Genomic DNA, 14,172 nt, shown 5'->3' on the forward strand with positions numbered 1-14,172 from the left:
GAGTAGTATGGACATTTTAACAATATTGATTCTTCCAATCCATAATCATTGGATAGCTTTCCATTTATTTGTGGCTTCCTCAACTTCTTTCATCAGTGTTTTATAGTTTCCAGCGTACAGATCTTTCAACTCCTTGGTTGAATTTATTCCTAAGTAGTTTACATTATTTTTGAGAGCTACTGTGAATGGGATTGTTTTCTTGATTTCCTTTTCAGATAGTTTGCAATTAGTGTATGGAAATGCTACTGATTTGTGTATGTTGGCTTTGTATTTTGCAACTTTCCTTAAAATTCATTTGAATTTTAAGGTTTTTCATAAAATATTTTAAGATTTTAGATATATAAAATCATGTCATTGTCGTCTGCAGACAGAGATAATTTAAATTCTTATTTTTTTTCTTTTGCTTTTTGGGACAGGTTCTCTCTTTGTCACCCAGGCTGGAGTGCAGTGATGGGATCTCGGCTCACCGAAGCCTCGCCTTCCTGGGTTCAAGCGATTCTCATGCCTCAGCCCCCCAGGTAGCTGGGACTACAGTCGCATGCCACCACGCCCAGCTAACTTTTGTATTTTTGGTAGAGACAGGGTTTCGCCATGTTGCCCAGGCTGGTCTCGAACTCCTGGCCTCATGTGATTCACCATCCTCAGCCTCCCAAATGTTAGGATAACAGGTGTGAGCCACCGTGCCCAGAAACTTTTTATTTTCTGATTTGTGTGCTTTAAATTTTTCTCTCTTGCCTAAATTTTTTGGCTAAAATTTCCAGTACTATGTTGCATTGAAGTGGTGAAAGGGGGCATGTTTGTCTTGTTTCTGATACAGGTAGTATTAAAACCAGGGTCTTCCATCAGCTATGACAAGAGTGTAGTTAAAGGAAAGAATCAGACCAAGGACTGAGCCCGGGGGCTCTCTATTTGTTAGGATAAGAATTTGGGGAGAAGAGAACTTCCGCATAGCTGAACACATGGAAGTTCCTGGAGGGAGGTGCACCTGGAGAGGGCATGGAAGCTCCATGCCCCTTCCCACATACTGTGTCCTATGCATCTCTTTCATCTGGCTGTTCGTCCGTATCCTTTTTCCTTTGTCATGTTCTTCATAATAAATGGGTAAACATATTTACTAATCAGTGTTAAAACCCAACACGATACACTAACATGATTTTAGTGCACTTAGAGGAGAAATATTTCCTAGTTAAGGGGGAAATTGTGCAAAGGGCCTCTGGAAGACCTTCATTCTAAATTGCTTTGTAGGGAAACATTTCATTTAGAAGTCTGGACATTCTTTTTCAGTTTGCTGTAATCTACATTCACTGAGTAGAACTTGTATTGATCATTGGGACCCAGTTTATTCCAGGGTTCTGGGGGATTCTTTCTGTCCCAGCTAACACCTGGGTTAAACAGTGCCAGATGCAAGACATGCAGCCCTGCTCTGGTGCCTCCTGCTCACATATATACAAAGAGAGAGAGATCACACTCGAATGCTTCCTGGCCTGACCAAAGAGCTGGGGGAGCATCTGCGTAGCCTGGAAGGAGGGAAGAACAAATATTTCAGGCCCGGGTCTAAGTAATCCAATGCAGCATTTGATGTTTGGAGGAGACTTAGGCTATATAGAATTGAGTTAACAATACTCCTGGTTTCATAACATGCTACTCATGATTGATGTCAGGCCCTATTTGTTTATTTATTTTATAATATAGTGTTCTCCCATTTACCTATTACCCAATCCAAAAACTAGACTATTACCAGTAACTTACGTCCACCTCTGAGCTCCCCCTCACTGCATCCTCCTGACCCTCTTCACTCCCACTAGAAGCAACCCTAACCTAAATTGTGTACTTGGTATTTCTTTGATTTTTATTGCAAATAAGTACACACACACACACACACACACACACACACACACACACACACACACACATATATATATATATATATATATATATATATATATATATATATATATATATGTACTTATGGTTTTGGCTCACTGCAGCCTCAACCTCCCCAGCTCGTATATATATATAAATATATACTTATGATTTTGGCTCACTGCAGCCTCAACCTCCCCAGCTCAGGTGATTCTCCCACCTCAGCCTCCCGAGTACCTGGGAGCACAAACGCGCGCCGTGATGCCTGGCTAATTATTTGTAGAGATGGGGTGTAGCCATGTTGCGCAGGCTGGTCTCCTATTCCTGGACTCAACCACTCCACCCACGTCTGCCTCCCAAAGTGCTGAGATTACAGGCGTGAGCCGCTGCGCCTGGCAATTATACTGTTCAGTTTTGCTTGATTTTGAATTTTATGAAAAGGTTGTCATACTGCATGTAGTCTTGTGGTAACTGCTTTTTTCATACTTATACTAACATTGATCCATTGTTGAGCATAAAACTGCAGTTCACCCATTTGCCTTGCTACATAGTATATCATGGTATGCATACACCACAGTTTATCTACACATTCTCTTATTTGTGATCATTTGCATAGTTCCCAGGTTTTTTGCTACTGTGGTCAGTGCTGCTGTGAAATTCTTGTCCAGTGGACATTGACAGGAATTGCTGAGTTGTCAATGATCTACTTTATATATTGATGCCACATTGTTTTCCAAACTGGTTGTGTTCGTTTATATTCCCAACGTGTTGCAAGCTGTATGAGATCCCACTGCTCTGCATCCTCTCTAACCTTTGATGTTGCTAGGTTTCTAAATCTTTGCCAATCAAATGGGTACAAGATTTATCTTGAGGTCATGTTTAGCATTTCCCTGACTACTGATGAGCTGAGCATATCTTCATGTGTTTATTGGCCACATAGGTTCCTTCTTCTATGGAATTCCTGTTGATGATTTTTGCCTATTTTCTTACTGGGTTGTTTGTCTTTCTTACTGATTTCTAGGAGTTCTCAAAATATATTCTTGATAACCAATCTTTTGTCAATTGTATGCAGGATAAAGATCTTCTTCCAGCTTGTACCATGTATTTCCACTTTTATATGACATCTTTTAAAAGTTGAGGTGTAACAGGCCGGGCACAGTGGCTCACGCCTGTAATCCCAGCACTTTGGGAGGCCGAGGCAGGTGGATCACTTGAGGCCAGGAGTTCGAGACCAGCCTGACCAACATGGTGAAACCCCATCTCTACAAAAATAAAAAATTAGCCAGGCTTGGGGTTGGGCACCTGTAATCTCAGCTACTTGGGAGGCTGAGGCAGGAGAATCGCTTGAACCCAGGAGACGGAGGGTGCAATGAGCTAAGATGGAGCCATTGCACTCCAGCCTGGGTTACAAGAGCAAAACGCCGTCTCAAAAAAAAAATAAAATAAATAATAAAATAAAATAAATTGAGGGTTAACATGCATACGACAAATCACAGAAACTTAAGTGTACAATCTTAACACAGATCTACACCCATGTAACCGCCATCCAGATCAAAATAGAGAACATTTTCAACATCCTCGCATCCCTAAAAAGAGAATTTTGAGAGAAGATGAGGAACCAGTAAAGAAGATTGAGGAGTGACCACTGAGATTGGAATAAACCCAATGTCTTCTCCTCCTGGCAATGGCAGACTAGACAATTCAGATAAACCCTCTGTGTTGGCCATCTGTTAGTTGGCCATCTGGTTTAACTCAATCTACAGCCTCCCCCCGTCTCTCTGATGATTGGGCAGATATCACATAGTTCAATGGCCCAACCCTCTAGTCATATGGTTGGTCTTCCTAGTATGGCCAGCCTCCATTCAGAGTCATCTCATTACATAAACTATCTAGGGGCCTCCCATGATTCACCTCATTAGCATAAACCATGTAGTGTGGTCCGTGGGGCTCACCAGGAATGACAAAGGCATGCCCATCACTCAGGAAATTGCAAGGGATTAGAGGTTATCTCCCAGGACTCAGGGACAAGGTCCAGGCAAATTCTTTATTATACATTAAGTGCACAGAAAAATGCACATTATAGAAAAAATTCATCTTATTGGGATCTTTCCAGATCCTGGGAATATAGAAATATACTGCTATGGTTCGGATATGATTGGTCTGTCCCCGCCAAAACTCATGTGGAAATTGGATCCCCAATGTGGTGGTGTTGGGAGATGGGGCCTTGTGGGAGGTGTTTGGGTCATGGAGACAGATCCCTCATGAACAGCTTGCTGCCGTTCTGGAGGTAGTGAGTGAGTACTGGCTCTGGTGAGACTGGATTAGTGCCCATAACGGTAGGTTTCTTATAAAGCCAGCATGCCCCTCGGGTTTTCCCTCTTTGCATGTGTCTGCTTCTCCTTTGGCCTTCTCCACTATGTTTTGGCCTAGGAGGTGGCTGTCACCAGAAGCTGAGGAGTTACGGGTGCCATGCCTCTCCTACTTCCCAGCTTGCTGAACCATGAGCTAAGTCAATCTCTTTTATATCTATATTACATATCTAAATAATATATAGATATAGAATATATCTGTATATTATATAGATATAGAATACATCTCCATACTATATAGATATAGAATACGTCTCTATACTATATAGACATAGAATACGTCTCCATACAACACAGACATAGAATACGTCTCTATACTACATAGACATAGAATACGTCTCTATACTACATGGACATAGAATACGTCTCTATACTACATGGACATAGAATACGTCTCTATACTACATGGACATAGAATACGTCTCTATACTACATGGACATAGAATACGTCTCTATACTACATGGACATAGAATACGTCTCTATACTACATGGACATAGAATACGTCTCTATACTACATGGACATAGAATACGTCTCTATACTACATGGACATAGAATACGTCTCTATACTACATGGACATAGAATACGTCTCTATACTACATGGACATAGAATACGTCTCTATACTACATGGACATAGAATACGTCTCTATACTACATGGACATAGAATACGTCTCTATACTACATGGACATAGAATACGTCTCTATACTACATGGACATAGAATACGTCTCTATACTACATGGACATAGAATACGTCTCTATACTACATGGACATAGAATACGTCTCTATACTACATGGACATAGAATACGTCTCTATACTACATGGACATAGAATACGTCTCTATACTACATGGACATAGAATACGTCTCTATACTACATGGACATAGAATACGTCTCTATACTACATGGACATAGAATACGTCTCTATACTACATGGATATAGAATATGTCTCTATATTATATGGATATAGAATATGTCTATATTATATAGATATAGAATATGTCTATATTATATAGATATAGAATATGTCTCTATACTATATAGATATAGAATATGTCTCTATACCATACAGATATAGAATATGTCTCTATATTATATAGATATAGAATATGTCTCTATATTATATATATAGAATAAACAGATATAGAATATATCTATATATTATATCTATATAATATATAGATATAGAATATATCTATATAATATATAGATATAGAATATATCTATATTATATATCTATAAAATATATAGAATATATATAACTATATAATACATAGAATATATCTATATATCTACATAATATAAAGATATATATCTATATATCTATATAGCATATATATATCTAGATATATGCTATATAGATGTATAGATATATATATCTATATTATAAGTTTTTGTAGAAATAGGGTCTCTATATCTAATATAGATATATTATATAGATATATATCTTTATATTATGTAGATATATAGATATATTCTATATATTATATAGTTATATATATTCTATATATTTTATAGATATATAATATAGATATATTACATATCTATATATTATATAGATATATTCTATATCTATATATTATATAGATATAATATATAGATATATTCTATATCTGTTTATTCTATATATATAATATAGAGACATATTCTATATCTGTATGGTATAGAGACATATTCTATATCTATATAGTATAGAGACATATTCTATATCTATATAATATAGACATATTCTATATCTATATAATATAGACATATTCTATATCCATATAATATAGAGACATATTCTATATCCATGTAGTATAGAGACGTATTCTATGTCCATGTAGTATAGAGACGTATTCTATGTCCATGTAGTATAGAGACGTATTCTATGTCCATGTAGTATAGAGACGTATTCTATGTCCATGTAGTATAGAGACGTATTCTATGTCCATGTAGTATAGAGACGTATTCTATGTCCATGTAGTATAGAGACGTATTCTATGTCCATGTAGTATAGAGACGTATTCTATGTCCATGTAGTATAGAGACGTATTCTATGTCCATGTAGTATAGAGACGTATTCTATGTCCATGTAGTATAGAGACGTATTCTATGTCCATGTAGTATAGAGACGTATTCTATGTCCATGTAGTATAGAGACGTATTCTATGTCCATGTAGTATAGAGACGTATTCTATGTCCATGTAGTATAGAGACGTATTCTATGTCCATGTAGTATAGAGACGTATTCTATGTCCATGTAGTATAGAGACGTATTCTATGTCCATGTAGTATAGAGACGTATTCTATGTCCATGTAGTATAGAGACGTATTCTATGTCCATGTAGTATAGAGACGTATTCTATGTCTATGTAGTATAGAGACGTATTCTATGTCTGTGTTGTATGGAGACGTATTCTATGTCTATATAGTATAGAGACGTATTCTATATCTATATAGTATGGAGATGTATTCTATATCTATATAATATACAGATATATTCTATATCTATATATTATTTAGATATGTAATATAGATATAAAAGAGATTGACTTAGCTCATGGTTCAGCAAGCTGGGAAGTAGGAGAGGCATGGCACCCGTAACTCCTCAGCTTCTGGTGACAGCCACCTCCTAGGCCAAAACATAGTGGAGAAGGCCAAAGGAGAAGCAGACACATGCAAAGAGGGAAAACCCGAGGGGCATGCTGGCTTTATAAGAAACCTACCGTTATGGGCACTAATCCAGTCTCACCAGAGCCAGTACTCACTCACTACCTCCAGAACGGCAGCAAGCTGTTCATGAGGGATCTGTCTCCATGACCCAAACACCTCCCACAAGGCCCCATCTCCCAACACCACCACATTGGGGATCCAATTTCCACATGAGTTTTGGCGGGGACAGACCAATCATATCCGAACCATAGCAGTATATTTCTATATTCCCAGGATCTGGAAAGATCCCAATAAGATGAATTTTTTCTATAATGTGCATTTTTCTGTGCACTTAATGTATAATAAAGAATTTGCCTGGACCTTGTCCCTGAGTCCTGGGAGATAACCTCTAATCCCTTGCAATTTCCTGAGTGATGGGCATGCCTTTGTCATTCCTGGTGAGCCCCACGGACCACACTACATGGTTTATGCTAATGAGGTGAATCATGGGAGGCCCCTAGATAGTTTATGTAATGAGATGACTCTGAATGGAGGCTGGCCATACTAGGAAGACCAACCATATGACTAGAGGGTTGGGCCATTGAACTATGTGATATCTGCCCAATCATCAGAGAGACGGGGGGAGGCTGTAGATTGAGTTAAACCAGATGGCCAACTAACAGATGGCCAACACAGAGGGTTTATCTGAATTGTCTAGTCTGCCATTGCCAGGAGGAGAAGACATTGGGTTTATTCCAATCTCAGTGGTCACTCCTCAATCTTCTTTACTGGTTCCTCATCTTCTCTCAAAATTCTCTTTTTAGGGATGCGAGGATGTTGAAAATGTTCTCTATTTTGATCTGGATGGCGGTTACATGGGTGTAGATCTGTGTTAAGATTGTACACTTAAGTTTCTGTGATTTGTCGTATGCATGTTAACCCTCAATTTATTTTATTTTATTATTTATTTTATTTTTTTTTTGAGACGGCGTTTTGCTCTTGTAACCCAGGCTGGAGTGCAATGGCTCCATCTTAGCTCATTGCACCCTCCGTCTCCTGGGTTCAAGCGATTCTCCTGCCTCAGCCTCCCAAGTAGCTGAGATTACAGGTGCCCAACCCCAAGCCTGGCTAATTTTTTATTTTTGTAGAGATGGGGTTTCACCATGTTGGTCAGGCTGGTCTCGAACTCCTGGCCTCAAGTGATCCACCTGCCTCGGCCTCCCAAAGTGCTGGGATTACAGGCGTGAGCCACTGTGCCCGGCCTGTTACACCTCAACTTTTAAAAGATGTCATATAAAAGTGGAAATACATGGTACAAGCTGGAAGAAGATCTTTATCCTGCATACAATTGACAAAAGATTGGTTATCAAGAATATATTTTGAGAACTCCTAGAAATCAGTAAGAAAGACAAACAACCCAGTAAGAAAATAGGCAAAAATCATCAACAGGAATTCCATAGAAGAAGGAACCTATGTGGCCAATAAACACATGAAGATATGCTCAGCTCATCAGTAGTCAGGGAAATGCTAAACATGACCTCAAGATAAATCTTGTACCCATTTGATTGGCAAAGATTTAGAAACCTAGCAACATCAAAGGTTAGAGAGGATGCAGAGCAGTGGGATCTCATACAGCTTGCAACACGTTGGGAATATAAACGAACACAACCAGTTTGGAAAACAATGTGGCATCAATATATAAAGTAGATCATTGACAACTCAGCAATTCCTGTCAATGTCCACTGGACAAGAATTTCACAGCAGCACTGACCACAGTAGCAAAAAACCTGGGAACTATGCAAATGATCACAAATAAGAGAATGTGTAGATAAACTGTGGTGTATGCATACCATGATATACTATGTAGCAAGGCAAATGGGTGAACTGCAGTTTTATGCTCAACAATGGATCAATGTTAGTATAAGTATGAAAAAAGCAGTTACCACAAGACTACATGCAGTATGACAACCTTTTCATAAAATTCAAAATCAAGCAAAACTGAACAGTATAATTGCCAGGCGCAGCGGCTCACGCCTGTAATCTCAGCACTTTGGGAGGCAGACGTGGGTGGAGTGGTTGAGTCCAGGAATAGGAGACCAGCCTGCGCAACATGGCTACACCCCATCTCTACAAATAATTAGCCAGGCATCACGGCGCGCGTTTGTGCTCCCAGGTACTCGGGAGGCTGAGGTGGGAGAATCACCTGAGCTGGGGAGGTTGAGGCTGCAGTGAGCCAAAATCATAAGTATATATTTATATATATATACGAGCTGGGGAGGTTGAGGCTGCAGTGAGCCAAAACCATAAGTACATATATATATATATATATATATATATATATATATATATATATATATATGTGTGTGTGTGTGTGTGTGTGTGTGTGTGTGTGTGTGTGTGTGTGTACTTATTTGCAATAAAAATCAAAGAAATACCAAGTACACAATTTAGGTTAGGGTTGCTTCTAGTGGGAGTGAAGAGGGTCAGGAGGATGCAGTGAGGGGGAGCTCAGAGGTGGACGTAAGTTACTGGTAATAGTCTAGTTTTTGGATTGGGTAATAGGTAAATGGGAGAACACTATATTATAAAATAAATAAACAAATAGGGCCTGACATCAATCATGAGTAGCATGTTATGAAACCAGGAGTATTGTTAACTCAATTCTATATAGCCTAAGTCTCCTCCAAACATCAAATGCTGCATTGGATTACTTAGACCCGGGCCTGAAATATTTGTTCTTCCCTCCTTCCAGGCTACGCAGATGCTCCCCCAGCTCTTTGGTCAGGCCAGGAAGCATTCGAGTGTGATCTCTCTCTCTTTGTATATATGTGAGCAGGAGGCACCAGAGCAGGGCTGCATGTCTTGCATCTGGCACTGTTTAACCCAGGTGTTAGCTGGGACAGAAAGAATCCCCCAGAACCCTGGAATAAACTGGGTCCCAATGATCAATACAAGTTCTACTCAGTGAATGTAGATTACAGCAAACTGAAAAAGAATGTCCAGACTTCTAAATGAAATGTTTCCCTACAAAGCAATTTAGAATGAAGGTCTTCCAGAGGCCCTTTGCACAATTTCCCCCTTAACTAGGAAATATTTCTCCTCTAAGTGCACTAAAATCATGTTAGTGTATCGTGTTGGGTTTTAACACTGATTAGTAAATATGTTTACCCATTTATTATGAAGAACATGACAAAGGAAAAAGGATACGGACGAACAGCCAGATGAAAGAGATGCATAGGACACAGTATGTGGGAAGGGGCATGGAGCTTCCATGCCCTCTCCAGGTGCACCTCCCTCCAGGAACTTCCATGTGTTCAGCTATGCGGAAGTTCTCTTCTCCCCAAATTCTTATCCTAACAAATAGAGAGCCCCCGGGCTCAGTCCTTGGTCTGATTCTTTCCTTTAACTACACTCTTGTCATAGCTGATGGAAGACCCTGGTTTTAATACTACCTGTATCAGAAACAAGACAAACATGCCCCCTTTCACCACTTCAATGCAACATAGTACTGGAAATTTTAGCCAAAAAATTTAGGCAAGAGAGAAAAATTTAAAGCACACAAATCAGAAAATAAAAAGTTTCTGGGCACGGTGGCTCACACCTGTTATCCTAACATTTGGGAGGCTGAGGATGGTGAATCACATGAGGCCAGGAGTTCGAGACCAGCCTGGGCAACATGGCGAAACCCTGTCTCTACCAAAAATACAAAAGTTAGCTGGGCGTGGTGGCATGCGACTGTAGTCCCAGCTACCTGGGGGGCTGAGGCATGAGAATCGCTTGAACCCAGGAAGGCGAGGCTTCGGTGAGCCGAGATCCCATCACTGCACTCCAGCCTGGGTGACAAAGAGAGAACCTGTCCCAAAAAGCAAAAGAAAAAAAATAAGAATTTAAATTATCTCTGTCTGCAGACGACAATGACATGATTTTATATATCTAAAATCTTAAAATATTTTATGAAAAACCTTAAAATTCAAATGAATTTTAAGGAAAGTTGCAAAATACAAAGCCAACATACACAAATCAGTAGCATTTCCATACACTAATTGCAAACTATCTGAAAAGGAAATCAAGAAAACAATCCCATTCACAGTAGCTCTCAAAAATAATGTAAACTACTTAGGAATAAATTCAACCAAGGAGTTGAAAGATCTGTACGCTGGAAACTATAAAACACTGATGAAAGAAGTTGAGGAAGCCACAAATAAATGGAAAGCTATCCAATGATTATGGATTGGAAGAATCAATATTGTTAAAATGTCCATACTACTCAAAGCAATCAACAGACTCACTGCAATCCCTATCAAAATTCCGATGCTATTTTTACATAACAGAAAAAGCAATCCTAAAATTCGCAGAGAACCACAAAAGACTCCAGTTACCCAAGGCAATCTTGAGCAAGAAGAACAAAGCTGGAGGAATCACAACCTGATCTCAAAATATAATAAAAGCTAGAGTAATCAAAACAGCATGGTACTGGCATACAAACAGACACATGGACAAATATAATAGACTAGAAAAAATCCATGCACTTATGGTCAAGTGACTTTCAACAAAGATGCTAAGAACACACAATGTAGAAAGGACTGTCTCTTCAATAAATGGTCTTGGGAAAACGGAGTATCCACATGCAGAGGAATAAAATGGGACCCTTGTCTCACATCATATACAAAAATCAAGTCAAAATGGACTCCGGATTTAATCGTAAGATCTGAAACTGTAAACTGCCAGAAGAAAACATAGCGAGAAACATCCATGGCATTGACCTGGGCGATAATCTTTCCGCTATGACCCCAAAAGCATGAGCAACCAAAGAAAGAATAGAGAAATGGGATTACGTCAAACTGAAAGGCTTCTGCACAACAAAGGAAACGATCAACAGAGTGAAGAGGCAACCTACAGAATGGGAGAAAATATTCACAAACTATACATCTGATAAGGAGTTAATATCCAAAATACATAAGGAACTCAACTCAATAACAAGAAAACAAATCACCTGATTTTAAAACGTGCAAAGGATCTGAATAGACATTTCTCCAAAGAAGACATACAAATGGTCAACAGTTGTATGAAAATGCTCGACATCACTTATCATCAGGGAAATGTCACAATGAGCTATCACTTCACACCTGTTAAAATGGCTATTATCAGAAAGATAAAAGAGAACAAGTGTTGGCGAGGATGTGAAGAAAAGGGAACCCTTATGCACTGTTGGTGGGAATGTAAATTAGTACAACCACTGTAAAAAAACAGTATGGAGACTTCTCAAAACACTAAAAGTACAACTATCCAGCAATCCCACTACCGGGTATTTATCCAAAAGAGAGGAAATTGGTATACCAAAGGGATACCTACACTCCCATACTTATTGCAGCACTCATCACAATAGCCAAGGTATGGAATCAACCATCAGTGGATGAATGGATAAAGAAAATGTGGCATATATACACAGGAAATACGATTCAGCCACAGAAAGAATGAAATCCTTTCATTTGCAGCAACATGGATGGACCCGGTGGTCATTAAGTTAGGTGAAATAAGCCAGGCACAGAAAGACAAATACCGTGTGTTCTCACTCATATGAGGGAGCTAAAATAGTTGATCTCATAGAGGTAGAGAATAGAGTGATAGATATGAGAGGCTGGGAAGGATGTGTGGATTGGAGGACGAGGGGTTGGGAAGAAGAGAAGTTGGTTAATAGGTACAAACATATAGTTGAAAAGAAGGAATAAGTTCTAGGCCAGGTATGGTGGCTGATGCCTGTAATCCCAGCACTTTGAGAAGTCGAGGCGGGCAGATCGCATGAGCTCAGGAGTTCCAGACCAGCCTGGACAGTATAGTGAAACCCAGTCTCTACAAAAAAAAAAAAAAAAAAAATTAGCCAGGCGTGGTGGGGCGCACCTGTCGTCCCAGCTACTCGGGAGGCTGAGGTGGAAGGATCGCTTAAGCCCAGGAGGTTGAGGCTGCAGTGAGTTGTGACTGCACCGCTGCACTCCAGCCTGGGACAATAGAGTGAGACCCAGTCCCCAAAAAAACAAAGACAGAGTAACTTCTAATGTTCAGCAGCAGAGTAGGATGACTACAGTTAACGGCAATGTATTGTATATTTCAAAATAGCCAGAAGAGAGGACTTGAAATGTTCCCAATACATAGGAATGAAAAGTATTCCAGGTGATGGTTACCCCAAATATCCTGAATTGATCATTATACATTCTATGCACGTGACAATATACCACATGTACACCATATATATGTGCAAATATTATGTATCCATTAAAAATTAAAATTAAAGAAATATAAATAGTACTATCATTTAATTTGGTAATCTCACTACTGGATATATGGCCAAAGGAAATGAAATCAGTATGTCAAAAATATCTGCACTCACATATACATTGCAGCACTGTTCACAACAGCCAAGACGTGAAATGAACCTAAGAGCCCATCAAATGGATGAATGGATAAAGCACATGTGTATGTGCACACACAATAGAATAGTATTGAGCCTTTTTTAAAAAAATAAAAGGAAATCCTGTCATTTGTGGCAACATGAGTGAATCTGGAATATATTATGTCGAGTGAAATAAGCCAGGCACAGGAAGACAAATACTGTATGATCTCACTGCGATGTGGAATCTTAAAAAATCAAACTTTTTAGAAACAGAGAATAGAATGGTGGTTACCAGGGTCTGGGGCTGGGAAGGATTGGGGAGATATTGGTCAAAGGATACAAAACTTCATTTGGACAAGAAGTCTAAGTTCAAGAGATCTATTGTAAACAAGGTGACTATAGTTAATAATAATGTATACTTGAAAATTGTTAAGAGGGTAGGTTTTAAGTGTTCTCACCACAAAAGATGAAAGGTATGTGAGTTCATACATATTGTAGTTAGCCTAATTTAGCCATTGTACAATGTATACGTATTTCAAAGCATCATGTTGTGCACTATAAATATATACAATTGTGTCATTACGAATAAACAAAAATAAAATACAAAGGAATGAAATAAATTCCATTTGTTCAATAAAACTGATGTGATACTGGTGAAGATGTGCAGAAACTGGAACCTTTGTGCACTGTTGGTGGGAATGTAAAATGGCACAGCTGCTGTGGAAAACAGTATGGCAGTTACTCAGAAAACTAAAAAGAGAATTACCATATGATCCAGTAATTCCATTCTGTGTCTATATCCAAAAGAAGAGAAATCAGAGTCTCAAAGTGCTGTTTGTACACCCCTGCTCATAGCAGCATTATTCATGAGAGCCAAGAGATGGAAGCAACCCAAGTGTCCACTGATGGATGA

The 14,172-nt window shown here is 38.9% G+C and overlaps 2 pseudogenes; one reads left to right on the top strand and one right to left on the bottom strand.

The window, feature by feature from the left end:
- Positions 1-1,254: 1,254 nt before the first annotated feature.
- Positions 1,255-1,508, bottom strand: LOC107987328 (cytochrome c oxidase subunit NDUFA4-like; annotated as a pseudogene).
- An 8,124-nt stretch (positions 1,509-9,632) lies between these two features.
- Positions 9,633-9,886, top strand: LOC107987329 (cytochrome c oxidase subunit NDUFA4-like; annotated as a pseudogene).
- Positions 9,887-14,172: the final 4,286 nt, after the last annotated feature.

This window comes from Homo sapiens, chromosome X (assembly GCF_000001405.40).
Source record: "Homo sapiens chromosome X, GRCh38.p14 Primary Assembly".
Lineage (NCBI taxonomy): Eukaryota > Metazoa > Chordata > Mammalia > Primates > Hominidae > Homo > Homo sapiens.